This window comes from Homo sapiens, chromosome 20 (assembly GCF_000001405.40).
Source record: "Homo sapiens chromosome 20, GRCh38.p14 Primary Assembly".
Lineage (NCBI taxonomy): Eukaryota > Metazoa > Chordata > Mammalia > Primates > Hominidae > Homo > Homo sapiens.
Window position 1 is genome coordinate 57,383,984 of NC_000020.11, and position 25,637 is coordinate 57,409,620.

General features: G+C 59.2%; 1 protein-coding gene and 1 long non-coding RNA gene across 7 annotated transcripts, besides 15 other annotated features; one reads left to right on the plus strand and one right to left on the minus strand.

The window, feature by feature from the left end:
* Positions 1 to 176: 176 nt before the first annotated feature.
* RBM38-AS1 (RBM38 antisense RNA 1) lies at positions 177 to 9,073 on the minus strand. Its single transcript, NR_149006.1, has 2 exons — positions 8,296 to 9,073; positions 177 to 932 (listed from the first exon to the last, which is right to left on the minus strand). It is a non-coding gene; the product is annotated as an RBM38 antisense RNA 1 (long non-coding RNA).
* Positions 5,106 to 5,485: a silencer, noted in NCBI's record as "silent region_13059". NCBI's record gives its function as "represses an Ori minimal core promoter by ATAC-STARR-seq in GM12878 lymphoblastoid cells {active_cell/tissue: GM12878}" and the evidence as "EXISTENCE:reporter gene assay evidence [ECO:0000049][PMID:35858748]".
* Positions 7,096 to 7,495: a silencer, noted in NCBI's record as "silent region_13060". NCBI's record gives its function as "represses an Ori minimal core promoter by ATAC-STARR-seq in GM12878 lymphoblastoid cells {active_cell/tissue: GM12878}" and the evidence as "EXISTENCE:reporter gene assay evidence [ECO:0000049][PMID:35858748]".
* Positions 7,096 to 7,631: a biological region, named in NCBI's record as "H3K27ac hESC enhancer GRCh37_chr20:55966169-55966670".
* Positions 7,130 to 7,631: an enhancer, noted in NCBI's record as "H3K27ac hESC enhancer chr20:55966169-55966670 (GRCh37/hg19 assembly coordinates)". NCBI's record gives its function as "activates a minimal SCP1, AML or CMV promoter by ChIP-STARR-seq in primed H9 embryonic stem cells {active_cell/tissue: H9 hESC(primed)}" and the evidence as "EXISTENCE:reporter gene assay evidence [ECO:0000049][PMID:30033119]".
* On the plus strand, positions 7,413 to 25,350 carry RBM38 (RNA binding motif protein 38). Of its 6 annotated transcripts, XM_011528885.4 has the most exons (6): positions 7,413 to 7,835; positions 8,414 to 8,509; positions 8,671 to 8,794; positions 9,296 to 9,350; positions 12,924 to 13,059; positions 23,560 to 25,350. In XM_011528885.4, the coding sequence occupies exons 1-6, from the start codon at positions 7,599 to 7,601 to the stop codon at positions 23,653 to 23,655; spliced, it is 744 nt and encodes a 247-aa protein (XP_011527187.1). In that variant the 5' UTR covers positions 7,413 to 7,598; the 3' UTR covers positions 23,656 to 25,350. The 6 variants fall into 6 exon arrangements, with proteins under 6 accessions (XP_011527187.1, NP_001278709.1, XP_047296214.1 ...); NM_001291780.2 differs by lacking the exon at positions 12,924 to 13,059; XM_047440258.1 differs by lacking the exon at positions 8,414 to 8,509.
* Positions 7,632 to 8,131: an enhancer, noted in NCBI's record as "H3K27ac hESC enhancer chr20:55966671-55967170 (GRCh37/hg19 assembly coordinates)". NCBI's record gives its function as "activates a minimal SCP1, AML or CMV promoter by ChIP-STARR-seq in primed H9 embryonic stem cells {active_cell/tissue: H9 hESC(primed)}" and the evidence as "EXISTENCE:reporter gene assay evidence [ECO:0000049][PMID:30033119]".
* Positions 7,846 to 8,035: a silencer, noted in NCBI's record as "silent region_13061". NCBI's record gives its function as "represses an Ori minimal core promoter by ATAC-STARR-seq in GM12878 lymphoblastoid cells {active_cell/tissue: GM12878}" and the evidence as "EXISTENCE:reporter gene assay evidence [ECO:0000049][PMID:35858748]".
* Positions 8,886 to 9,075: an enhancer, noted in NCBI's record as "active region_18146". NCBI's record gives its function as "activates an Ori minimal core promoter by ATAC-STARR-seq in GM12878 lymphoblastoid cells {active_cell/tissue: GM12878}" and the evidence as "EXISTENCE:reporter gene assay evidence [ECO:0000049][PMID:35858748]".
* Positions 11,905 to 12,866: an enhancer, noted in NCBI's record as "H3K4me1 hESC enhancer chr20:55970944-55971905 (GRCh37/hg19 assembly coordinates)". NCBI's record gives its function as "activates a minimal SCP1, AML or CMV promoter by ChIP-STARR-seq in primed H9 embryonic stem cells {active_cell/tissue: H9 hESC(primed)}" and the evidence as "EXISTENCE:reporter gene assay evidence [ECO:0000049][PMID:30033119]".
* Positions 14,442 to 14,941: an enhancer, noted in NCBI's record as "H3K4me1 hESC enhancer chr20:55973481-55973980 (GRCh37/hg19 assembly coordinates)". NCBI's record gives its function as "activates a minimal SCP1, AML or CMV promoter by ChIP-STARR-seq in naive H9 embryonic stem cells {active_cell/tissue: H9 hESC(naive)}" and the evidence as "EXISTENCE:reporter gene assay evidence [ECO:0000049][PMID:30033119]".
* Positions 14,442 to 15,008: a biological region, named in NCBI's record as "H3K4me1 hESC enhancer GRCh37_chr20:55973481-55973980".
* Positions 14,549 to 14,668: a silencer, noted in NCBI's record as "silent region_13062". NCBI's record gives its function as "represses an Ori minimal core promoter by ATAC-STARR-seq in GM12878 lymphoblastoid cells {active_cell/tissue: GM12878}" and the evidence as "EXISTENCE:reporter gene assay evidence [ECO:0000049][PMID:35858748]".
* Positions 14,919 to 15,008: an enhancer, noted in NCBI's record as "active region_18147". NCBI's record gives its function as "activates an Ori minimal core promoter by ATAC-STARR-seq in GM12878 lymphoblastoid cells {active_cell/tissue: GM12878}" and the evidence as "EXISTENCE:reporter gene assay evidence [ECO:0000049][PMID:35858748]".
* Positions 15,983 to 16,846: an enhancer, noted in NCBI's record as "H3K4me1 hESC enhancer chr20:55975022-55975885 (GRCh37/hg19 assembly coordinates)". NCBI's record gives its function as "activates a minimal SCP1, AML or CMV promoter by ChIP-STARR-seq in primed H9 embryonic stem cells {active_cell/tissue: H9 hESC(primed)}" and the evidence as "EXISTENCE:reporter gene assay evidence [ECO:0000049][PMID:30033119]".
* Positions 16,829 to 16,928: an enhancer, noted in NCBI's record as "active region_18148". NCBI's record gives its function as "activates an Ori minimal core promoter by ATAC-STARR-seq in GM12878 lymphoblastoid cells {active_cell/tissue: GM12878}" and the evidence as "EXISTENCE:reporter gene assay evidence [ECO:0000049][PMID:35858748]".
* Positions 24,984 to 25,489: an enhancer, noted in NCBI's record as "H3K4me1 hESC enhancer chr20:55984023-55984528 (GRCh37/hg19 assembly coordinates)". NCBI's record gives its function as "activates a minimal SCP1, AML or CMV promoter by ChIP-STARR-seq in primed H9 embryonic stem cells {active_cell/tissue: H9 hESC(primed)}" and the evidence as "EXISTENCE:reporter gene assay evidence [ECO:0000049][PMID:30033119]".

Below are 25,637 nucleotides of genomic sequence, written 5' to 3' on the forward strand. Positions count from 1 at the left end.
TCTTTTATTCTTTTTCCCTCCTGACTGTGGTGCAGAGGAGGCAGTATGGGAGGAGACAAAGCTCAAAGAAGGCACTGACAATCCCCAGCATCCTACGGGCCCGAATCCACACTGCGGATTCCGTCAGCTCACTGGCGGCAGCACTCTCTGGTGTCTTTTTTTTTTTTTTTTTTTTTGAGACTGAGTCTCGCCCTGTCGTCCAGGCTGCACTGCAGTGGCGTGATCTCAGCTCAGTGCGCCCTCTGCCTCCCGGGTTCAGGCGATTCTCCTGTCTCAGCCTCCCAGGTAGCTGGGATTACAGGAGTGAACCACTGCACCTGGCCTTCTCTTGTGTCTTTTGTCTTTCATTTCTCTTCTTCACTACCCGTCAGCATGATAGGTTTCTTCCTCCTCTTATGAATCCCAGTGTCAAGATACAGCCTGATCGCCCCTTAATACGGTGCCGCCATTACTCCAGACCCCTCTGCAAGCATTGGTCATTCATCAGCTTTCACGAGGTGAACTGGGGACGAGGCAGGGGCTTGGACCGGCTTCCTGGCCAGGACTCACTGCCTTCCTCAGCTGAGAAGACTGCATTTCCAGGTTGAACCCTGACCCCCACTGACTTTGGGCATCTCCATGTGTCCTGTGTTTGCCAGCCTTTCCACTCCCTTGTAAATCTTTCTGCCTCCAGGACTGGCTGCTAAAACAGGTGCACTGGAGGCCGCTCCCTGTGTTACTTGAAGCATGGCACTTGCCACTGTCTTCGGTGAGGGGGCGTTTCCCTCTGGTGCTGGGGAGCCAGGGCATCCATTTGGGGCTTCATGTCATCTCTTGGGACTTCACGTACCTCGAATCCAACCTGTGGGCCCCTTCGGTGGGGCTTTGCTGTGAGAGTACCTTGACTGGTGTGGAAGGCCCAAGCATGGTTCTGCTTAGCACCTGACGGTTGCCTACAAAAGGAAAATCAGTATTAATATTTGTTATGGGCTGAGCTGTCGTCCTCCAGATTCATATGTTGAAGTCCTCACTCCTAGTACCTCAGATTAGGACTGTATTTTGGAGACATGGTCTTTAAACAGTCAATTCAGATAAAATGAGGTCACTAGGCTGGGCCCTGGTCCAATAGGTCTGGTATCCTAGACCAGGAAATCTGGACACAGACAAGGACAGAGGAAGGGCCGCATGAAGACACAGGAAGAGGGCGAGGTCCGCACACCACAGAGAAGGCCTTGCAAGGAGCCAGCCCTGCAGACATCCAGATCTCAGACTTGTGCCCTCAGAACTCTAAGAGAATAAACTTCTGTCGCTCGGTCTCCCGGCCTGTGGTAGTTTGTGACAGCAGCTCAAGGTGACCACTACAGTCTTCCGCAGTGGCCACTTGCATTTGGGCTGCATGACCTGGTGTCTGCAGGATCCACAGCACCAGCCACCGCGCACCGGGCTCCCAGGGCAGGCAGTGTTGAGCGTCTTGTAGCGGCGCTGGTGGGGGCAGGATCTCCGGCCTGTGCCACCCTCACAGCCACTGCAGAAACAAACTCAGCCTTCCCCAGCGCCACGTGCAGCTCACAGCTCGGGGATTCGCTGCCCCAGCGCCACGTGCAGCTCACAGCTCGGGGATTCGCTGCAGGCTTCCCTTCACCTGCTAACCTGCAAGGTGCCAGAAAACCAGAAGCAGTAGCGTCCCTGAGAGAGTTGGGGCGTTTGTGCCCCACGTTTCCTGCCAGCAGTGGCTGCTTTCCTTGGCTTGATCAAGGCGCTGCCTGCAGCTGTCCAGCTTCTTACCTGACGTCTCGGCCGCCCAGCTCAGCTCGCAAGAATTCTTGTTCTTCGTGGCACTTCCTTTTCCTAGAGCTTTCATCACCACCATTTTGTTTGTTTGTTTGTTTTTGAGATGGAGTCTCCCTCTGTCACCCAGGCTGGAGTGCGGTGGTGTGATCTCGTGATCTCAGTGGCGTGATCTCAGCTCACTGCAACCTCCACCTCTTGGGTTCAAGTGATGCTTCTGCCTCAGCCTCCTGAGTAGCTGGGATTACAGGCACCACGCCCAACAATTTTTGTAGAGATGGAGGCCAGGCTGGTCTTGAACTCCTGACCTCAAGGGATCCACCCGCCTTGGCTTCCCAAAGTGTTGGGATTACCCACCAGCACCCAGCCTCTCATCACCATCTTGAAGCCAAAGGATGAGGGGACACCGAGCCCAGGGGCAAGTGCCATCATGCAGGCTGGCGCCAGCACCTGCCTAGGCCCCCTATGCAGCCCCTGCCCTCGCAGACACACCTGTCCACACTGTATAGCAAGGCCACCTCCCTCTTCATGAGAAAGATCCTGGGGCAACGAACAACTTTTGGCACAGGAGACCAATCAGGTCATTTGGTTATTGACAGGGAGTAGCAGGCTCTTCCCCACTTTCTCATTCTTCTGCACCCCCAGTTTGCCACTTGGACTACACTCCTTTCCCTAGGGGATGAGGGCTCAGCTTTCAATGTGAGCTGTGTTGTTTCCCGAGGTTGCAGTAACAAATGGCCACATGCTTAGTGGCTCAGAACCACAAAAGTGAATCCTCTTATAGTTCTGGAAGCCTGACATCCAAAATGACTATTAGGGGACTAAAATCAAGGTGGCAGCAAGGCTGGTTCCTTCTGGAGGCCTGAAGGGAGGATCCATTTCTTGCTTCTCCTGGCCTCTGGTGGCTGCCAGCAACCCTTGGCTTGTGACCGCATCACTCCAGCCTCCTGTTCTGGGCTCACATCTATTCCCGTTCCTTAGTCAAATCTGGAGCCGTCCTCAGATGGAGACTCTTGTGATTTCAATGGGTCCCTCTGGATGACCCTCGATACTCTCCTCACCTCCAGATCCTTAGTCACATCTGCAGAGTCCCTGTCACCAAGTAGGGTGCCATGTTACAGGTTCCAGGGATTAGGATGCAGAGGCCAGGATTCGGCCATGCACACAGGCCAGTGTCTTTCTGTCTTTGCAGCTGAAACTGAGGCATGTGCACTCTGCTGCTCCAGGAGCTGTCCACCAATGCTGCTGGGGCGGCCTGTGACAGCATCGACTGAGCCTGTCATTGCCACCTGGAGAGGGGCTGAACCTTTCCTCTCCCCAGTACCAGTGCCTGCTGGTGCATTTTGGCCTCTGTGCCCAGTAGTATGGGGAAACTTTTTTTTTTTTTGAGATGGAGTCTCACTCTGTCACCCAGGCTGGAGTGCAGTGGTGCAATCTCGGCTCACTGCAACAACCTCTGCCTCCCAGGTTCAAGTGATTCTCCTGCCTCAGCCTCCCGAGTAACTGGGATTACAGGCACGCACCACCACACCCAGCTAATTTTGTATTTTTAGTGGAGACGGGGTTTCACCATGTCGGCCAGGCTGGTCTCGAACTCCTGACCTTAGGTGATCCACCTGCTTCGGCCTCCCAAAGTGCTGGGATTCCCAGGCTCACTGCTCTGCACCTGGCAGATGAAAATGGCAACCTGGGGCTCCCATGGATTCAAAGGAGCTGGGCTGCAGGCTGGGGGTGTACAGGCCACCTGCACCAAGCTCAGCCCAAAGCTGAGTCCCCGAAGAGCCTTGATATAAACACCAACACGACAAACAAAAAGAGGAGGCCCAAGAGCGCGGGGCCTGAAGACTCAAACCAGAGCCCTGCCTGGATGGGGCTGTGCTGTTTCAGATCGCAGTGGCCGGCCTCACCTGCTCCTCTCTGCACATCCTCATCAGGGTAAACTCACTCTCCCTCCTCTGCAGGGCAGCTGGAGCCACAGCTGGGAGCAGAGAGCAGGCCTAGGCCAGGCAGTTCTGCATTTGTGCCCTGCACACATCACACATTTGCGAGGGAGGCAGGAGAGGACCTCTCTGAGCATCAGTTTCCTCAGCTATATAATGGGCATCATCGTAGTCATCTCTTCCTAGGGCTTTTGTGAGATGAACTAAGATAACACACAGAAAGTGCTGGGCTCATCCTCACACTGAGCAGGAATTCTGCGTTCCAAGCTCCTGCAATTTCCATTTTCTCACCCAGCACACACAGTTGCCAGTCCTCCCTCCCGCTCCCCAGTGAGGCCTGAGGGACCCAAGTCACCTCTGCCCAGCCTGGCTCCCAGCCTAGTCTCACAAAACTGTGTTCCCTTTCCAGGGGCCCTTTGTGGGCCATGGAACCCTTGGCAGTCAGCTGATACCTAAGGTAATAGTATTAAACACTTAAAATGCTTACCAGCCAGGCACGGTGGCTCACACTTGTAATCCCGGTGCTTTGGGAGGCGGAGGTGGGAGGGTTGCTTGAGGCTAGGAGTTTGAGACCAGCCTAGACAATAAAGGGAGACCTTGACTCTACAAAAAAAAATTTAAAAAATCAGCTGGGCGCATGCCTGTGGTTCCAGCTACTCGGGAGGCTGAGACTGCAGGGAGCTATGATCACACCACTGCACTCCAGCCCGGACAACACAGCAAGACCCTGTCTTTATAAAAAATAATAATAACAAATAAAATGCTTAGATTAGCAAAGGAAAACAATCACATTAAAATATAGGCTGGGTGTGTTGGCATGCACCTGAAGTCCCAGCTACTCAGGAGGCTGAGGCAAGAGGATCAACTGAGCCCAGGAGTTCTGTATCAGCCTGGGCGACATAGAGAGACCCCATCTCTAATTAAAACAAATAAAAACGGCTATGAAAATATTTAAAAAACAAATATGTGATGTAGCAATGTAGACAAGCAATGTCTTCTTCATCAATGCGTTCAACAACAAGGTCAAGTAGTGGCGCTGATGAGACTGTAGTTTTTTTTTTTTTTTGAGACGGAGTCTTGCTCTGTCGCCCAGGCTGGAGTGCAGTGGTGCACATAAATGTGTGTTTGAGGCTGGGTGCAGTGGCTCAGCCTGTAATCCCAGCAATTTGGGAGGCCAAGTCAGGAAGATTGCCTAATCCCAAGAGTTCGAGACCAGCCTCTACACAAAATATAAAATTATCCCGGCATCGTAGTACGCACCGGTAATCCCAGTTACTTGGGAGGCTGAGGTAGGAGGATGGCTTGGAGCCCGAGAGGTCGAGGCTGCAATGAGCTATGATCGCTACACTCCAGCGACAGGGAGAGACCTTGTCTCAAAAAAAAAAAAAAAAAAAGTGTGTGTTTGGGTGAATGACTGATTGTCAGGCAGAAGCTGGTGACCCGTGGAGACATGGGGCCGCCGGAGGGGGGGAGGGATTGGTGATCCAGATACCCAAGGGGGCCCGGGGGCGGGGGGCGAAGGAGTGCGACTGGACCCGCACCTGGGCAACCGCGTCTCCAGCCTCCACGGCCCTGTCCCGCCCCCTTCCGGGCAGGCAGAGGCCCCGGGGCTGCCCTGCCGCCTGGGCCCGGCCCCCGCGGCAGCAGCCGAGCGGCCGCACCCCTTTGTGGGGCTGTCGTGCCGGGAGGGGCGCGGGCGAGGCGGGCCCGGGCGGCGCTGGGACTTGTAGGCCGGGAGCCCGGGCGCCTCCGGGCTGAAGCCCGTGGCCACGCCACCGACGCGGCTCCAGCCTGCCCAGGCAACGCGACGGCTGGGGACAGCCTTGGAAAAACTGAAGGGGAAACCGAGGCCTGGTGAAGGGATCCAGCTGGCGCAAAAGCACGCGGCCGCGCAGTGGCCGCCTCCCCCGGCCTCTAGGGGGCAAGTGAAGGTCACACTTAAATGAAAGTTTTCAAAGTCGCTTCGAAGGGCCTCCGGCTGGGCCAGAGCTTTCCCCCACCCCACCTTGTTCCATCGTGGATACACTCAACAAACATATCCCAGAGCCCTCTCCTTGCCAGGCCCTCCAGCTTGGGCAAAACATCCCAGGTCCCTGTTCTCGCAGCGCCCAAATAGCAGGGGAGGGGCTCCAGGCAGGCGAACACACAGGGCCGGGGAGGTGGGAAACTCCGCGAAGGAAGGAGAGGAAACCACGCGGGATGAAGGGCAACGGGGGCCGCAAGCGGGGGCAGGAGCGCCAGGAACGAGGAACGAAGGGGGAAGGGAGGAAAGGACGCCCAGGCTTCCGGAAGACTCGGGGGTCCCATCCCCACTGTGCAGAGGGCTAGAGCGGGAGCTGGGGGAGGGAGAGGTCAGAGGTCAAGGCTGCCGCGTGGAGCGTGGGCCGTGGAGTGGGGGAGGGGGCGGGCAGACTCCTCCCCGCCGGCAGCCAGGGCAGAGGGCTGGAGGAAACGCGGAGAACTCCTCGGTGCTGGAGGAAACGAGGGGAACTCCTCGCCGGCCTTGCGGTCCCCCACAGCCCACGGAGTGCCACTCCCAGTCCCCACAGACCCCACCTGCGTCGCCCTGTGCTGAGAGGAGGCCGCAGGGCTGGGGCCGGGAGTGACCCCAATTAGAGCTGCTGTTTCCCAGCTGCATAGGTCCCAACCGCGGGGGCTGGAGATGAGGCGGGCTTGAGGCCCCTAGTCCCGGCTTCAGAGGTGGAGGGTGTGACCCGCAGGTCCGGGATCCCGGGGTCTGTGCAGTCACACGGCCCTTCCCTTCGCTCAGGAAAGCCCGGGGCTGAGTTTCATGCTCAACCGCTGCCAACTTGAAATTCCTAGCTTTTGAATAAGGGGCCCCGCGTTTGCATTTTGCACTGGGCCCCGAAAATTCTGTGGCTGGCCCTGCCTGGTGTGAAGCTCACAGAGCCCCACTATGCGCCGCCTTTCTATGGCTGGGGGCCGGATGAGGGACCCGGGTCTGCTCTTACTCGCCCCAAGGGTCCCTGACACCAGCCCAGAACGGGGTGGAGCTGGAAAGAGCCCACACCTGCTTCCTCTGCCCACCTCATCTCCCGCGGGGCCTCTGAGACCGCCCGGGACCCGCTTCTATCGCGGCACCGTGGTGTAGCTCCCTCCGGGGTCGTATGCTGTATGTTTACTAGCCGAATTCTCAGTCCTGGACGCTCCGTGGGGCCAGGGAATATGATCTGTGCTCCGCTGCAGCCTCGCGCCCAGAGTAAATATCGGTCGGATGAACTAATCTTACATATAAAACAGAAATCATTTCCCTTTTTTAATATGGCACGTGGCTCTTCCCTAAGTCGCCCTGGGTTAAATACCGACTCAATTAACAAGATGCTAAAAACCGTTTACGTTTTTTTACGTTTTTTACGTTTAATTCACCAGACGGTGCGCTCCACGAGGGAAGGGGCCTGGCCTCCCTAGTTCAGGGTTGTGCTTAGTGCCTGCAACCGGCCGGGCCCGCGGGGGCAGCCAGGAGAGAAAGGCGCGCCCAGCGCCCCCAGGCCCGGATCCGCCCTCAGCCCGCGTGCGCTCCCCTCCCCCCTCCCCCCAATCGCCGCGCGCCCGGGTGCGGCTGGGCGGGGTTAGAACTACGCTTCCCGGCGGTCCCCGCGCGCCCGGGGCGGGGCGGGGCCGGCTGGGGGCGGGGCTGAGCTGGCGGGGGCGGCAGGCTACAAAGCCCGGGGGCGGTGCCGGGGCGCAGAGTCCCCGCAGCGCCGGTCGGGAGCGCAGCGCGGCGCACGTCGGCGCGCACGGCGGGACGGGCGCCGGAGTGGTCGGGCCTGGCGGCTGGACGGGCGCCCCTCGCTGCCCCGCGCGCTCCCCGCCGCCCCCCATGAGCGCAGCCCCGCGCGGCCCGGGTCCGTAGGCGGCGGGGCGCCCCCCATGCTGCTGCAGCCCGCGCCGTGCGCCCCGAGCGCGGGCTTCCCGCGGCCCCTGGCCGCCCCCGGCGCCATGCACGGCTCGCAGAAGGACACCACGTTCACCAAGATCTTCGTGGGCGGCCTGCCGTACCACACTACCGACGCCTCGCTCAGGAAGTACTTCGAGGGCTTCGGCGACATCGAGGAGGCCGTGGTCATCACCGACCGCCAGACGGGCAAGTCCCGCGGCTACGGCTTCGTAAGTGGCCCCCGCGCCCGGGCCCGCACCCCGCCGCACACCTTATCGCGGCCCGGGCGCCGAGTCCACTCCGGGGCACACGCCCAGACGGCCCGCTGCCGCCCCCGCCCCAGGCGCCTCCAGCCGGCGCCCGCACCTGCCGCCTCTCCCGGGCGCGCTCCTGCCGGTCCCGCCCCCACCACCCCAGGCCCCGGCCCCCACCCCCACCCCCACCCCCACCCCCACCCCCGGTTTAAAAGGAAGAGCCGCTGTGTTCAATTAGGACTCCTAAGTTGGTGGGGAGGTTTTGGAGCCAGAGGGCACTCGGGATTTCCTGGAGCAGCGGGGGGTGAGGAGCAATGGCTCCACCCCGGGGTGTTAGGAGCTCTTCGGCCTCCCCCATATTTTTAACAGCCCTCTCAGCCGCCCCAAATAAACATCAGCTTAAGTAAAAACGTCTTGAAGACACTTTCCTGCTTACCTTCCAAGCATAGCGTCGCAAACTCCTTCTCAGAGGAAAGTCTCGGCCCTCACTGGTGGGCAAGTCCAGGCGGCCCCCCAAGCTCCCTTCGGGGTTCATTTTTGCCCTATCCCCGCAGGGGATTATTTTTGTCCTTGAAGGCCACATTTCCCAGGCCTTGAACTTTGACGGGAGGAGCTGGAATCCAGGAGGCATCTTTGTGGGAGAGCCCCAGGTAGGGTTCAGAGGAGCTTTGGCTCAAGGACCCTGGGTCACAGGCACCCTCAGAGGAAGGGAAGAGAGGGGTGGCAGCATCCGGTGCCAGGGCGGAGCCGTCTGCCCCTTTCGCCCCTGGTTCCCCCCACGGCAGCCCCTGATGTGTCTCTGCTCCACCAGGTGACCATGGCCGACCGGGCGGCAGCTGAGAGGGCTTGCAAAGACCCGAACCCCATCATCGACGGCCGCAAGGCCAACGTGAACCTGGCATATCTGGGCGCCAAGCCGCGGAGCCTCCAGACGGGTGAGAGCTTGTGTTTTCCTGCCTGGCTCTTCTCGGTTTCTATATTGGGTGTCGGTATCTGTCGGGTGGAAAGAGGCCCCCCCTCCTCGCCCCAGCAGTGGCAGTCGGCTATCATGTGCCTGCAGAGCCGGCACAGGGCAGCCATCCCCCCCTCGAGGATCTAGACCCCTTCTCACAGCGTGTGGCCCAAAGAAGGGGGCGGGGGGCAGGGAGGGTACTGCACCCCAGTTGCCAGCTGTCCTCGCAGGAGGGAGGAAGTGGCCATGGGGCCTGGAGGTTGGGAGTGCCGACACCAGTGGCTGCTGACACCTGCGTCACTCACTGCCACACTTCAGCGGTGTGCCTTGGGGTTCACAAGGGGGAGGCCTGGGAGGGGAGAGGAAGCGGATGATCCCTTTTGACTAGAGGTGTGTGGCTTGTGGGATTCTGCCACCCTGTGTGCAGCCCTTGAGACGTGGCTCGTGCAGCAAGGCCAAGTCCCTGATTGTTCTCTCGTTTTAGGCTTTGCCATTGGGGTGCAGCAGCTGCACCCCACCTTGATCCAGCGGACTTACGGGTGAGTGGACATGGCTGGCTTGGGGTGGGTAGTCCGTGGAGATGAAGTGGAGAGGGCCTTGGGCTTCCTGGGTCTGGAAGGCTGGGGAAATGACAGTTTTCAGACATTTGATTGCGTTTAAGCCAAGGGAGTGAAGAGAAGGCAGATTGCACTTCTCCATCCCTGGCAGAGGCCATACCACCTAGGGGATGGTGAGCCTTGGAGCCTGCCTGCCTTGGTACACACCCCAGCTCCCTTCGCTAGGTGTGTGGCCTCAGTTTCCTCACCCGTAAAATGGGAGTGGTCACAGCACATCTGAGTTCTCTGAATGGAGGGCCTAGGGTGGGCCTGGTGCAGGTAACGCCCTCTTGAAGTGTTTGCTGATGACTCTTAGGGACTGGCAGGCTGAGTTCTTCCCCAGGCACTCCTCTCACCTGTTCTAGTGCTGGGGCAGGTGGTGGCAGTAGGTCATTGCTACCAAGGTCTGATGTTTGTGAACGTTGCTGTAGATACGATGTGTTTGGGGTGGAGGCCACCTGCCTGAGTGGCCTGGCCTATGGGCTTCTAGTCTGACTCATTTACAAGCAGCGCAGCCCACTCTTCTCCATCCTAAAACGCCTCCCACCTCCCTGCCCTTTTTTAAAACATCTAGTAAGTCCTGGCAGCTGCTTGGGGAGGGACACACACACTTAAGGGATACAAAGAGTCCTGCCTTGCGGCCTGCCTCCCCACCCCCATGATGGATGGAAGCTGTCTGCCCTAGCGCCGTGGCATATTGATGGGGTTGGAGTTGGAGGGGAAGGCAGCTCAGAGACCACCACCCCTTTCAGGGCATTGGCACTTCATGAACTTTCTGAATCCAAATCCCTAATGCCAGTTGATCACGTGTGTGTGCTCACGCATGTGCGCACCACGTAGATTCCATTGAGAGAGACACAGCTTGAGGAGTAACCTGCCTGACTGGGGCAGTGTGGACAAGGATCCTGTGGAACCCGGCTGAGCCTGGCTCCCAGGTGAATGGGTCCCCTGGGGCCTGGCTCCCAGGTGAATGGGTCAGAGGCCCCAGCAGAAGTTGCTGTGCCCACTTTTTGGGAACGCTTGGGGTGACTCGGGGGCTCCCTGCCGGCTTCCGTGTGTATTGGTGGATGTGTGCAAGTGTAGCAGTGGGAGGAGCCGCTGGCTGAGGGGTGCTGGAGGGTGGCCGGGGCCCTTCTAGCCTGTGCGAGTGGCCGGGCAGCTCAGGTTCCTGCCGGGGTGCCTCTGTCCTCCTGGGAAGGGAGCGTGTAGGGTGGTGGGAGCAGGCGGCCCTGTCCGTCTCGTCCTGGAATCTGTTTTGTAGATGTCTAGAGTCGTCTTAGAGGGTGTTTGGGGACACTGTAGCCTTCATGCCTTCACCGAGATTCTTCCTATGGGGTTCAGGCCACATGAAGAGGGTGTTCCTTGTTTTCCAGAACCTTGGCTCCATTCCCCAGGCCCACAGCAGGCGCCTGGGGGCATGGACTGGGCGGGAGCAGCTGCCCAGAGGTGAGGGTGTGTGCCTCCAGTGCCTGCAGCTCTTTTCTGCTTACAGTGGGATAAGGCCTTCCCACGTGCGTCTGGGCTCGCTCTGATCCACACAGCTACCTCTGGGACTCCATACCCATCAGTGCTTGGCCTCTGGGGCCTGCAGAGGTGGGTTCGAATCCTGACTTTGCCCCTTACCAGCTGGGTCTGTCTTGGCAGTGGCATCCTCATCCGGAAAACAGGAACATTAACTGCTTAAAACAGTGCACAGGCATGTGGGCTGGGTGCTCTGGCCTCCTCAGAAGTCCTCTCCTGTCCTCATAGCAGGCCTCTGAGGATGGGACTGAAACCATTCTTACTTTATAGATGGGGAAACTGAGGCAGAGAAAGGCTAACCACCTGTCTGGGCCTGGGGGCGGGTGGCAGGGCCAGGGTGGGGAGGCGTGAGGTAATAGACGTCCGGGAGGAGATTGGAACACAGGTGGTGGGTGCCTGAACGCATGCTTTCTTGGTGGGGGACGGTGGGAAGGGCCCTGGCCCGACCTTTCCCTTGCTGTCCTGGAGTCCTGTGAACACCACCCATCCAGAAGCAGTTGGGATCGGTCACAGAGTTTGCCACTGTGTGCCCCCGACTTCAGGCGACGGTGTTTTGTAACTAAATCTGCTGGCTGGCCATTTAATACTTGTGACGATGAAGAGGCCGCAGACTCTATTTGTTGGTTGCCAAAGGGTGGAGACCCAAACAGGGACGGTGTCAGAGGGGCCATCCGCTCTTGGCTTCCTGGGAGATCTGAACTCAAGCCTCTGAGAATCGCGCCGCCTCCTGCCCCTGCCTGGGCCTTACTGAGGTGGGTAGGGGGAGGCTCCCGGGTGCAGCTCCAGGGAGGCAGCGGGGCAGGCTGCCTGGGTCAGCTGTCTGCCCCCAGCCCCCGCCCGCTGACGGAGCTGGAGAGCTGGGCCGGAGCTGGAGAGCTGGGCCGTCAGCGTCCCTTTTGTCTTTGTGAACAATCAGGCCCCGGGAGCACAGCCGGGCCTGACTCAGCGGCCAGTTTTGTCGGCCTTGGGCTGGCAGCGACTTGCTGTTGGCTGAGGGCATGGAGGGAGGTGGGAGCCAGGAGCCCAGGCAGCTGAGGGTTGTCCACCAGTTAACCCCTTCCGTGCCTGGCTGAACTCTTCCTTGACTTTCTGACCCCGACCTTTTATACCTTGCCCTGGACAACTCTGAAGATCCCACAGCTCTGCTTTTAGGCAAGACCCTGTGGAATCTTCTTCGCCTGGCTGGGTCTTAAATGTTAGTTTAGAATGATTTACCAAAGAACTTTACACTTTATGCTATTTGCCGGAGTTTCCTTGCCTCTTTTCCTTTTTTTAAGTTGAACAAGCTCTGTGAGACCTAACTCACCTGTGCATTTCTGACCTAACTGTATGTGGCCACTGTCCGCGGTTTGGAGGAGCCTTCCTCGGCAGTGGCAAGCACGTGGTAGTCACAGCAGGAGCCGGTGGCCGTGGCCCACCAAGGGTGTCTGCCAGCTGAGTGTGTCTGTCACCTGCCGGTGGGAGGGGAGGTGCAGCAGTCTGGAGAGGGTCTGTGTCCAGGCAGAGCTTAGTCTGGCCTGGAACGGTGCCCTGTGTCAAGGGGTGTCTGTCCATTCTTGGGCTGAGGGCACCGGGAGCAGAGGTTTGTCCTGGGACTAGCTGCACCCAGAGCCTCTCCTTGGGTTATTTTTGAAGGGCCAGCTGCTTCCCTGGGTGCGGGTCTCCCTGCCTGTTAAGGGGGCCTGGCTGTGGCCTTGACTCCCGTTCACAGAGTGCCTCATATGTACATTATAGAACGTTTGAAGGGGGTGGAATATCCCTGGCCTCCACCCCTAGAAGCCAGTAGCATTGCCTCGCCCAAGTCATGACTACCAAAAATGTCTCCAGACATTGCCAAATGTCCCCTGGATTTAGTGGCATGAGGACCAGTATCTGTGAGTCTCTTGGACCTTGCCTCATGGTCACAAGATGACTGCCACGGCTCCAGACATCCCACCCACGTTCAGGGCAGAAAGGACAATAAGGGCCAGTACGAACTGCCTCTGTCTTTTTTAGCAGAAAAATGGAAGTTTTCACAGAGGCCACAACAGGCTTCCACTTAAGTCTCACTGGCCACAACTGGGTGACAGGACACGGCCACCACAGGGGCTCTGAGATGAGAAGACAGGCTCCTCGGACTCCGGAGTGTCAGGTACAGGCTGTATCCAGGAGCAAGAGCCCTGGGGGTCTGCCTGGGCTTAAGGCCAGGCCCAGCCTGTCTCTGCAGGCTCCTCCCCATCTGTGAGTGAGAACGGTCACACTGCCTTCCCTACAGGGCCAACTTGACTGTGTGTGGAGGGCCTGGCCCTGGGAAGTCACGGTTTGTCAGTGACGCATCTCTTGCCGGCCCTGCTTCAGGGTCTGTTGATTGATTACCTGTGCAAAACCGAGGCTTAGAGCAACTGAGAGACTTGCTGAGTTCACACATCCCAGGATGGTGGGGCCTGAGCTGTGGGCTGCGAGACTCTTGTCCCTCCCACAAGGACTCAACGCCTCCCTCTGGCTAGATGGCAGCTCTTGGATGATTCAGAGCACAAGGCCTCGAGACTGATGATGACCGTGAGACCCTCTCCCAGGCATGTGCCTGCCCCACTGCATGTATAGTTTCAGGGACCCCTACGTCCTTTGTGTGAAGGTCTCTGGTGCCCACTGGGTAGTAGATGGCTGCCCTTACCATCACGGGGCCTTGGTGTGTGCACACCACGGGGCCTGGACAGAGCACCTGGGTCCCCAGAGCAAGAGGACGTACTGGGGAGGCAGTGATGGGAAGATGTCTGTCTCCTTGAGAGCATGGGATGCACAAGCTGGGGAGAATGTCGACAGCTACTCCCAGCATCATTCATTCATCAGGTGTTTATTGAGTGCTTGCTGTATGCCAGACCTGGTGCCAGGGATCCTTTGAATAAGAAAGACACGGTCCCCGATCTCGTGCTCACATTCTGTTTGTGCACTCGTGGGCCCACATGGTGATGCGTGCAGTTAAACAGGAAGCTGGCGGAATGAGTGCCTGCGTGGGGACGGAACAGTTCCGCGTCTCGAGTACAGTGGTGGGGAGATGTGTCTGTGTGTGTGATAAAGCTTCACAGTTTGTGTGTAACTACACATGACATGTAAGAATGTTGGTGTGTGTAGAAGATGATGCAGCGTGCTGAAGGCCTGCAGTCCAGGTCATAGCAGTGTGCCTGGGTTAGTGTCCTGGTTTTGCTCATGTCCTTAGTTACTCTGATGTGCCCTTGGGGGATGGAGGAGGTAGGGTACACAGGATCTCTCTGTACTGTTTTTGCAACTTCTTGGGAGTCTTTTATTATTTTATAATACAAAGTGAAACAAAGCCAGAGGAGCTGTTTGCAGGTGATGGCGTGTGTGTGTGTGTGTGTGTGTGTGTACGCACGCACACGTGTGCGGGCGTGCTGGGGAAGGCTCCACTGAGGATGGCGGAAATGGGCCCTGTTGGCTTCTGGGGAAGAGCGAGCAGCCCAGGCCCAGGGTGACAGGCCAGCTGCAGGTCGCCGTGGCGGGCACAGGGTGAGCACCGCAGGGCAGGGGCAGAAGCTGAGGTCAGAGCCAGGCGGCATGGGGGCTGGGAGGAAGTGACTCCCCCCAACACTGTGGCGTCACGTTTTCACCCTCAGGGTGTCTCGTGGTGGCCCCGCCGCCCCCCTGCCCCCCCACAAGGCTTCCTGTTTGGCAGCTCATCTGGAGCCAGGCGTGGGCTGCACCGTGGCCCTCCTGGGCGGGCGCCCGTGCCGCACCTGTTGTTTGTCCTGTCTGCTGAAACAGAAAGCAGCCTTTGGGTGGCGGGGGCTCTTCTCCGAGCATGAGTTCTCACCCTGGCTCGCTGCTGGGCTTGGGGAGCCTCTTCTGGAAGCCTTGGGCCAAGGGGCACAGCTTTGTCTCAGGGTAGAAGCCTGATCACAGACTGAGTGGAGGCCCAAGCTCGAGCTTTCCTCGTTTAGCCTCAGTTTCACCTTGTGTCCAGGGTGGACAGGCTGATAACTCTGCAGTGTGCTTGCGGGCATCAGGACCTTCCTGCTGATCTCATTTGGATAGAGTAGGGAGCTGGACACTGGGTCAGCTTGTCTGACAGATCTTTGCTTGCTTTGTGCCAGGCTGGGGATGCCTGCCATGGGGGTGAGGGGAGACCCGGTCCCAGCTCCTAATCACAGTGCTTTCTGCAGCGAGGTGCTGAGAGGAGGACAGAGACAAAGGAGGTCAGCATGCCTCAGAAGGCGACAGGAGCTGGGGAGGGGAAGGGAGCAGCCGGGGAGGCTCAGGGCCCGACAGGGTAGCCTCAGCTCCTAGAGGACTTTGATGACCCAGGGAGGCACTGCTACATTCCTCCAAGTGACACCGGACCACGCAGGCTCCGAGCGGAGGAGGGATGGGTCAGTCTGCATTTTTGTTTTCAGAGTGTTTTTGCTTCTGGCTGCTGGGTTGAGCCTGGACTGCCGAGGGTATTGTGGTGGTTGGAGGCCCTTAGAGGATGCCCAGTAATCCAGGCATGAGACGAGGGTGCTGCCTGCACCAGCGGCCCTGGTGAGATACAGTGAGATTCTGGGTGTCTATTTTAAAGAACCTGGGAAAGAAAGAGGAGTCCAAGAAGATTCTGGAGCTTTGGGCCTTTGAAATGGGAGATGGGCTTGGCCCTGACTGGGGTGGAGGCAGCTGTGCAGTACAGTTTTGGGGAGAAGGTCAGGAGTTGGAGTTTGGGCCGGTTCAGGTGGAGATGCTGTTCCGGGCCTGGCATTGCCCCACAGAGAGGGCGTTCGACCTGTGTCCTGTGGCTGGCTGCCCCACAGAACTTGAATGTCCCTAGACCTCCCGGCCCTCCCCCTCACAAGTCACTGGGGATTCCCGGGAGGCAGGGCCATGGCCTGGCTTCCTGCCTGCCAGGCGCCTCGGGGACCTTCCCACACCCAGCCAGGCGGGAGTCAGAACCCTAAGAGCTGCGGTCCGTCTCTGCCGAGGTGGGGCAAGGCCCCTGGAGAGCAGGGAAAGTGAAATGGGCTCATTTGCCTTTTTCGTTTTTATTTTCAGAGGCGACTTTATGTTCAGAAAATGAGTCCTCCTGGGCCGTGGTCAGTTCTTTTCGCTGCGAGTTCTGCTTTGAGTGTGGGCAGCATGTGTCCCCAGCACCATCTGTACTTCTCTCTCCCGCCCACCACGGGGTTCTCAGACTCTGCCGGAGGCCCAAGCCCTCTGTCTTGGGGGCAATCTGTTGGACTCTGCAGCATCCTTAGTTTACAGATGGGGAAACAGAGGCCGGAGGGGCTGAGTGATGGTCCATGCGACTTGGACAGGCATGGCCAGGATCCGGGCTTGGGGCTCTTCCTGCCCTTGGACCCCTGAGTCTCTGTGGACAGAGTCAGCTGGGGTGCTCTTGACTGTGTGCTGACCCTGGGTGTGTTGGGGTGCAAATGCTGCCTGGGCCACGTGTGAACGGGAAGGGAGGCAGGCACCTCAGATTTCCAGTCTGGACCAGGCTCGGGGTCCCCCTGTCCTCTCCTGGGCTGTGGCAGAGCCAGCTCCTCCTGCATGCCCAACCCTCCCGGCATGGCCTGGCCTTTCCAGCCCTAATGGTGGCCCGTTTCAGTGGCTCCGTGATTTGGGGGTTTGGTGTTGCCCAGGCTCCGGCACTAGAGGGAAGCAGAGAACCCCTGAGTCATCCTTCCGCAGACACCCCGGACCCCAGCTAGGTGCCTGTGCCCAGTGTCCAGCGTTGCAGTGGGGCTTGGGTGGCATGTGGGGGGTCTGTCCCACCCATTCCTGTGGTTTCTTCCTTGGCTCTGCCTGGACTTTGCACACGTGGTGGGATTAATTCTCTGGTAAACAGATCCGCCTCTGATTGGTGCAAGACCCTTCTCTGGGGTCTTGGTGGGAGGATAGAAGTTTTCTGCAGAGGATGAGGAGGCACAGACGCCCGGTTGTTCTGAGGCCGGAACTTGGAAGGAAACTGGAAGGGAAGGAGGCTCCTGCCCTCTCCTTTGAGGTTACAGCTGGGCTGTGGCTCTGCAACCCTGGGGAGCGCGTGGGACTCCAGCAGCGGCCGTACAGAGGGCCGATTCCAAAGTGGCTTCTAGAGGAGGGAGCAAGTGCCGTGTGCCCAAAGAGGCCGGTGGGCCCTGGCCAAACAGGAGCAGCCCTGATGAGCATTGGGTCCCCCGACCTTTGGGCTCCTACCTGACTGCGCCTGGCCGCTGGTCTGTTTTGCTCACCAAGGGTTCTTGGCTGCTGCCCCCTGACCTGGGGCTGAAAGTCCTAGGAGAGGGAGGGCCTCTGTCCCTCCCAGCATTCCTCAGGCCCAAGGAGGCGTCGATGCTGCTGAAGTCTCTGGGGTGCACAGAAGCAATAGATCCTCACAGCAGCCCCCTGGGGCGTGTGGTTCCCCAGAGGCAGTGATGAGGTCACCCGGGGCCGCCAGGCACCTGGTCGGGGAGCAGAGGCTGGCGGGCTGTGCCTGTCTAGCTGTGACTTGCTGGGTGGAGCCGTGCCTGCCTGTCCCTCCAGCCTGCCCAGCCCTGGCTGCTCAAGGCTGAACTGCTTTCTCTGCCTTCTTGGGGCAGGGACTCTTGGCCTGGGAAGCAGAGGCCATTCCACGGGGGGGCTCTTTTGCCTCCCAGCTACCTGCAAAGCCGGGGCCTGCCTCAGATGCTCAGCACTGGGCACCTGCTGTGCTGGGGCACTTGGGACGCAGCAGCTGAGACCCTGCTCTTGTGGGGAAGACATTGTGCAAGGTAGATGATGAAGGGGCTTCCGATCATAAGGAAACAGAGCCGCCTGGGTGGACCCCTGAGGGGTGAGCTTTGAGCTGTGGGAAGAAGCAAGTGCATAGGTGCGAAGGTCCTGTGGTGGGAAGGAGTCGAATCTGGGAACAGAAGGAGCCCAGGGCAGTGGGAGTGTGGCCAGGGAGGGCGCAGTGCAAGTGGAGATGAGTTAGAAGAGGTAGGTTGAGGCCTAATAACGCAGGAAGCCACAAGGGAGCAGTTTGGGTTTTCTTCTGGGTACAGTGGGAGGCAGCTGGAGGGTTCTGCTTCTGGAGGTGATGGGGTGTTGATGTTTTCGTTTGTTTGTTTTTTGAAACGGAGTCTCGCTCTGTCTCCAGGCTGGAGTGCAGTATCTTGATCTCAGCTCACTGCAGCCTCCGCCTCCCGGGTTCAAGCCATTCTCCTGCCTCGGCCTCCTGAGTAGCTGGGATTACAGGCACGCACCACCACGCCCAGCTATTTTTGTATTTTTAGTAGAGATGGGGTTTCACCGTGTTGGCCAGGATGGTCTCAATCTCCTGACCTCATGATCCGCCCGCCTCGGCCTCCCTAAGTGCTGGGATTCCAGGCGTGGGTCTTGATGTTTTTAAGACAGCTCCAACTGCTGCTGGGTGAAGGATTCAGGGATGGAGGCAGGTCTCCACCACCACCAAGGCAGGGCCACGCCACTGCGCCCGCCTGGAGAGTCGGTGATGAAGGAGAGGGAGGATCGGAGAATTGAGGGATGGAAGCAGGGAGCTCCCTGTTGGATGGTGTGGGCATAGGCTGCAGTGGGGGTGAGTGGGCAGGGCAGTGCCTGGGTGGCCTGGTGGGCTCTTCACTGAGGTGGAGAGTGCAGGAGAGTCCCACCAGGGCCAGGCAGACACGTGCCCTGGCAGGCGAGCCTGTGCAGGGGACACACTTGGTGGGTGGGGCGGCGTGCAGCTACCAGGCTGTGCCCTTGTGTGCAGAGGCTGTGGCACCTGAGCTTTCTGAGCATGGCGTGTGAGTGGGGATGCTGAGGAACCTGCCTGGTGCGTGCACCCGCTCCCCATTGCCAGGCAGTGAAGCCTTGGGCCTGCGGCCGGGGCGGGGCCGCCCTTGGACAGTGCAGGGCCGGTGGTTTGGCTGCATTTTTCTTTCTCACCTGACCACTCAGTGGGTTCGCCCATGCGTGCGTGGCTGCATGAGCCCCTCTGTCTCTCTTTGCTCCCACCTGCCTTCTTTGTGGCCGCCCGGCGTGGGCACCTGTGGTCAGAGCAGCAGTGAGGATCCCTTGTCTTTGCCCTTCCCCTTCCCCATGTGGTTTCTGATGGTCCACAGTCGGGCGTCTCAGCCTTGGCACTGCGGACCTTTAGGACGGCATCGTTCTTTGTTGTGGGGGCACCCTGAGCATTGTAGGAAGCGGTCAGCACCCCTGGCCTCGACCCCTAATGTCAGCAGCACCCCCACCCGCACCTCATATTCCTAGTTGTCAGTTGTGACAACTAGGACCGTCCCTAGGCATTTTCCAGTGTCCCCTGGGGGCACAGTTGTCCTGGTTGGGAATCGCTGTTCTAGTGGCACCTCTAGGCCTCACAGCAAGCTTTTGAGGTCAGCCTCTGTAGGACCCAACTTACAGATGAGGAAACTGCGCCTTGGAAGTTTTGAAACCTGTTTGGTAACTCAGACAAGTGCAGGGGCGAGGCGCAACCCTAGGAGGGAGAGAAGCTGCTGGAACCCAGCTCCTGCCTGGCGGGGCTTCGTGGCTGCTTCTACCTTAACTTCAGCCGGTGTTCTCACTCCCCCTTGGGGCTTGAGGTGTGGCCCGTGCTGTGCCTTCCTTTTATTTTGAGCTGAACCTGGGGCCCCAGCCAGTCCTTGCAGGCACAGCTACCAGCAGCAGGCCCCACTGTACCAGTCCCTTGCTCTGCGATGGGGCAAGTCGCTTGGGGCCTCTCTGAACCTCGGATTTCCTCTCTGGGAGATGGGCTAACACTAGCATCTTTTCTATGGCTTTTTTTTTTGAGACAGAGTTTTGCTCTTTCGCCCAGGCTGGAGTGCAGTGGCATGATCTCAGCTCACCACAACCTCCACCTTCTGGTTTCAAGCGATTCTCCTGCCTCAGCCTCCCGAGTAACTGGGATTACAGGCTCCCGCCACCACACCTGGCTAATTTTTGTATTTTTAGTAGAAATAGGGCTTCGCCATGTTGGCTAGGCTGGTCCTGAACTCTTGACCTCATGATCTGCCCGCCCCAGCCTTCCAAAGTGCTGGGATTACAGGCGTGAGCCACTGCGCCCAGCCTTCCGTGGCTTTGAAAATGCTTCGTAAGTTATCCCAGGCCCTTTACGTACAGAAAGATGAGTAGATACCGACATGCAGTGTCTGCAAGGGTCAGGAAACAGGAGAGCCCCGCCTTCCTCCCCAGCCTAAACATTGCTCACCCACGCTTGTGTTTGAGTGTCCCTGAGTAGGGCAGCTCCTTGGTGGCCAAGGCAGCGCTCTGGCCCCGATGATGTGGGGCATCAGAACCCGATAGAAATGACGCAGCCCTCGAGGTGAGTGTGGCCGGAACCCAGCTGCCCCACAGCCCCAGGCACTTGTGTTCTGTGTCCCTGGTCTGGGCAGCGGTTCTTGAATGCAGCTGTGGATCAGGACCCCGGGGCCTGTTCTTGCACATTCCTGGGCCCCATCTGCCTTTGCAGTCTGCATGGGATCCACATTTTTAGCAAAACCTTGCGGGGAGATGTCTGAGGCAGGGGCATCACTGCCCATGTTTGGAGAAGGTGTGTGGGTTCAAAGCTTCCATAGCCTCCTACTAAGGAATGTTTTCGAGGTTCTGAGAGCTGGGTCGGGGGGGCACTGATGATGCCAGGGACAGCCTGCTGGGCACAGCCCCAAGACAGTCCTTGCTGTGTCTCCACTCGCCCCCTTCCCAAGGGAGGCCTCCGAGACCCTTCTGGGGCCCCCTGCCTCCGCTGGCCAGAGCTCCTCATCCTTCTCAGTGGGGTCTGTGCCACCCACCGGGCCTTTGTTCCGTCAGCACCATGTGCCCAGTGCCTCCTACAGGCCTGGTCCTGGCAGAGAGCTGGGAGTCCAGACAGAGCCATCTCCCTGACAGAACGCCATCCAGTGGGGCATCGGGCAGCGTAGCGAGGTGAGGGGCTGGCCTCCATGTGGGGTTGGGCCTCGCCAGGTTAAGGGCTCCAGGCAGAGGCATTGGCAGGTGCCAGGCCCAGGTGGGGAGGATGCGAGGGATTGAGGCGCTGTGGGGCATGGGCCGGCACCAGGGTGGACCTGGGTGTGCAGTGGAAGCCAGGGGTCAGCAGACCCGGCCGCCCCCATGGTGGAGGTGCCACGAGAGGGTTGTGCACAGAGGCTGCCGGCTGCCCTCATCCACTCTTCAGACACTCAGACTGGCGCCTGCCTCCGCCCTTGTGCCGCCATGCTGCTCCCCTGTGGCCAGCTCTGCCTCATCATTAGGTCTCTGCAGGCATCCCCTCCTTCAAGAAGCCACCCTGGCCTTTCCCCCATCGCTGTCCACACATCACAGCCCTCTGCTGTCTTGACTTCCCCTGAGCCCCCCACTCTGGTTTATGGGTTGGTGCATTTTGGTGCCTCTCCCATCCTAGAAGCTAAGCCCCTCGAGGGCAGGGGCTCTGTGGTCTGCTCCTCTCTGCATCCTGGCAGATATGTGAGAAAGGCGTCACAGCTCGAGAGTCAGAATTCAAACCCAGGCCTGGCTCCGCGCGAGGCCCTTGTTCCCATGGAGGATGCAGGGTGGACAGCAGAGGCTTCTAACCTGGGGAGAGGGACAGGAGGCGCCACTGCGGGGTTCCTGGCAGGAGCTGCCTGGGCCTCTGGACAGATGCTGTGGAGGGTTGGCCGTGTGGGCTGCAGGTGTGGCCACAGCAGCCACTAGGATGGCTCAACCTTGGAAGGTAAACAGTAGTAGAGAGGGTGACGCAGTGTAGAAACTTCCCACACACTTCCCAGATGGGGTGGGGGGAGCAAGAGGCCCTGTCGTCCAGGTTTTCCTGGTTTCCACCGTTGCTGTAGGGCTGCAGGATCCACTGAGTGCACCTGCCTTTGTGCTGGAAGCCAGGGCTCCTCTCTGACCCTGAGGGTCCCTGGCTCTGGGGAGGGAGCTCGCAGGGCTCCTCTCTGACCCTGAGGGTCCCTGGCTCTGGGGAGGGAGCTCGCAGGGCTCCTCTCTGACACTGAGGGTCCCTGGCTCTGGGGAGGGAGCACTGTGTTTTCAGTGCCCACATGTTGCCAAACCGCGCTCCAGAAAGCTGCCCAGTTTCTGTCCCTGCCGAACGCAGGAGAATGCAGGGAAGGATGTTGTACTTTTTCTCCAGAGCTGCTTCCCTTGAGGGGGGCCCCTGCCTACAGGTCAGAAGGAAGCTGAGGTTCCAAGTCACCCCCCAGGCGGGCCTGGCCTGTGTAACACGCAGGCGTGCAAGGCAGAGGAGATACTGATGCCCAGGGCACAGTGCCGTGCCCTGGAAGACCACTCCGTGCCTCGGACTCTGCAGCAGCTTCTGATGCCGCGGAGGTGGCTGTTCTGTTGCAGACGGGAAACTGAGGCTTAGCGGCTTGCCCCAGGCCACCGAGCAGCTGGTTGGCAGAGCAGGCACACGCCAGGAGAGCTGCCTCCCTGAGCCTCATTTCCCCCTGTGCTGAGGGCTGGGCATGCTGTTGTATGGCCAGCCCACAGCAGGCAGGAAGTGTTGGCCTCAATGCGTTTCCACAGTGGCCTGCCCAGGTAGGGTTAAGAGCACAGCTCTGAGGCCGGCTGACTCCTGGCCCCTCCACCTCATCAGCTGTAGGACCTTGGGCAACTCACCTGGCCCCGTGTGTGAAATGGGCCTCATGATGGGAAGACCAAGCCGACGGGGTGACGCACCCAGTCACAGTACGGGTCTCCCCCCAGCGTGGGCGCTGGCGAGTATGGCAGCTGTTGGCGCCATCATCTCTGTGGTCACCGCCATTGCACTCCTTTGCTCCAGCATTCACGCAGTCACTCTCACATCCTCACGGAGCTGCTGCAGGCCAGAGTCCATGCTGGCAGGGACAGAAAGAAACCCTGTGAGGGCTGGGCACGGTGGCTCACGCCTGTAATCCCAGCACTTTGGGAGGCCGAGGTGGGCGGATCATGAGGTCAGGAGATCGGGACCATCCTGGCTAACACGGTGAAACCTCATCTCTACTAAAAATACAAAAAAATTAGCCGAGCGTGGTGGCGGGCACCTGTAGTCCCAGCTACTCAGGAGGCTGAGGCAGGAGAATGGCGTGAACCCGGGTGGCGGAGCTTGCAGTGAGCGGAGATCCCGCCACTGCACTCCAGCCTGGGGAACAGAGCGAGACTCTGTCTCAAAAAAAAAAAAAAAAACAAACCCTGTGAGGAGCAGGTGTTGGCTGGGAGAGCAGGCGTGTACATGAGCCAAGTGTGCAGTGTCACTTGGTGGGTGTTGAGTGTCAGGGAGATGAGCAGGGAAGGGGGACAGGGCTGGCCTCCCAGACATGCAACCAGGACATTCGTACCGGGCCCTGCTCTTGATCGCATGCTCCGCCGTCGTGGCTTCAAACTCTCAATCATTTGAAAACAACCATTCAAGATTTTTATTTTTGCACCAGCTCCGGGGATGTGGGGTGTAGGGCTGGGATGCGGGGGTGCAGTCTGGGAAGGCCTTGCTGAGAAGGAGACATGGAGTGGAGGAGGGAGCCTGGTGGTTAGTGCAGACAGTCAGTGCGAAGGCCTTGAGGCGGCAGCATCTGGCCAGGTGCTGTTTCTGTGCCCATCTGACCGATGAGGAAAGTCGGGGCTCGGGGTGGGGGGCGGCACGCATCGTGTACCCCACTGTTCTCCCAGCTGTATTCCCCAACTCCGTTCTGGCCCTAACCTGCTCTGCTTGGCCCCACAGGCTGACCCCGCACTACATCTACCCACCAGCCATCGTGCAGCCCAGCGTGGTGATCCCAGCCGCCCCTGTCCCGTCGCTGTCCTCGCCCTACATTGAGTACACGCCGGCCAGCCCGGCCTACGCCCAGTACCCACCGGCCACCTATGACCAGTACCCATACGCCGCCTCGCCTGCCACGGCTGCCAGCTTCGTGGGCTACAGCTACCCTGCCGCCGTGCCCCAGGCCCTCTCAGCCGCAGCACCCGCGGGCACCACTTTCGTGCAGTACCAGGCGCCGCAGCTGCAGCCTGACAGGATGCAGTGAGGGGCGTTCCTGCCCCGAGGACTGTGGCATTGTCACCTTCACAGCAGACAGAGCTGCCAGGCCATGATGGGCTGGCGACAGCCCGGCTGAGCTTCAGTGAGGTGCCACCAGCACCCGTGCCTCCGAAGACCGCTCGGGCATTCCGCCTGCGCCCTGGGACAGCGGAGAGACGGCTTCTCTTTAATCTAGGTCCCATTGTGTCTTGAGGGAGGACTTTAAGAATGACTGAGAACTATTTAAAGACGCAATCCCAGGTTCCTTGCACACCATGGCAGCCTCTCCTTGCACCTTCTCCTGCCTCTCCACACTCCAGGTTCCCTCAGGCTTGTGTCCCCACTGCTGCATCGTGGCGGGGTGTCACAGACCCTCTGCAGCCCCTGGCTGCCCTGGACTGTGCAGAGATGCCTGACTCCAGGGAAACCTGAAAGCAAGAAGTTAATGGACTGTTTATTGTAACTTGATCCTCCCGAGCTGTGAGCGCAGTCTGAGGTGTGAGGACACGGCCTCCTGTTGGAGTCCCATTTTCTCCATCAGGGCACGTGGGCGGCTTCCTCAAGCCCGGAGGAGCTCCCAGGCGCACAGGGGCCGCCGGTAACAGGGGCCGCCGGCCAAAGGCCCCTTTCCAGTCATAGCACTGAAGTTGCAACTTTTTTCTTGTAATTGTTTTGCTACTAAGATAATTTCAGAAGTTCAGTCTATTTTTTCAGCGGATACTGCCGCCACCAAGAATCCAAAACCTATTTTTGACTTGGAGAGACTTGCTTTTGTTGGTTCCGCCCGTGGAGACGACGATAGTGTTTCTGTATAATAAAGTGTCTGCCGGCTCGCGGGCCAGGATCCTCTCGGTGGGATGGGCACCACAGACAGGAGGCCCCTCAGGCCCGTGCGGGCCACTGTCTGCTGCCGCCTGCCGGGGTGGCAGAGTGAGTTGTCTCAGGACCCCGTCACTGCGACGTTGACACTCCTCTCCCTTCCCTTCCTCCCCAACTCCCCAAACACTGTGGAAGGGGAGAAGGAAGTGATCCACAGCATTCAGGCCACTTGGGGTCTAGACCATGGTGGTGCCAGCCTGGGGGGGGCAGTGGCCCTCAGCTCTGCCCGCTGGAGCGGTTGAGTGCAGAAGGGTGCGCCTCTTCCCTCTACCCCCGCACCACCTGCTGTGTGCCAGCCTGAGACGGTTCCTGCCTGTCTTGGGGGTTGGTGGAGGGTGGAGGCAGTTCTGCCAGCCGTGGCAGGGCTGCTATGGGGCATCCAGGGCTGTGGGGGTCTGGAGGAGGGGACATGAGGTGAGAGGTATCCTGGCCGAGGGCGGGGGGCAGCGGGGGGTCTCCCTCCGGACCTACCTCAGGGAGCTGAGCGTGCAGGCGCTCCAGGGCAGGCCTGGGACAGAGTCAAGGCTCAGAGAATAAAGGTAGCTAATCTCATCATAATATTTTTATTAGAATGTTCTGATGATAAAAATAAAACTTGTTTTCTTTAAAGAAAAAGTTGATCTAATTTTTCTCAAAACGCAGAGCTCCCCTCGTGCCTGTGGGCATCACCCATGCCCCGCCCTCCTGGCTCAGGAACCCAGGATTTCACTGGCAGCCGTGCATAGAGCGCCTGGCCTGCACCGGCCGCTGAGCCTCAGTAGCAGAACAGACGCAGCCCCTCTTCACACCCGCTAATGCAGGGGAGGCCTGGCGTCCCAGCCGCCGTGCATCATCCAGCATCAGCTTCAGACCCGGAGAGGACTGCGCTTGGGTTACTTCTTGGCGCTGTGGCTGGGGAGGGG

What these genes read in the sequence shown, in the direction of transcription:
- RBM38 (NM_001291780.2), top strand. Translation starts at nt 7,599, where the DNA reads ATGCTGCTGCAGCCCGCGCCGTGCGCCCCGAGCGCGGGCTTCCCGCGG. An exon ending in AGTCCCGCGGCTACGGCTTC is followed by an intron (nt 7,836 to 8,413) that starts GTAAGTGGCCCC and finishes CTATCCCCGCAG; the next exon opens with GGGATTATTTTTGTCCTTGA. An exon ending in GCCGCGGAGCCTCCAGACGG is followed by an intron (nt 8,795 to 9,295) that starts GTGAGAGCTTGT and finishes CTCTCGTTTTAG; the next exon opens with GCTTTGCCATTGGGGTGCAG.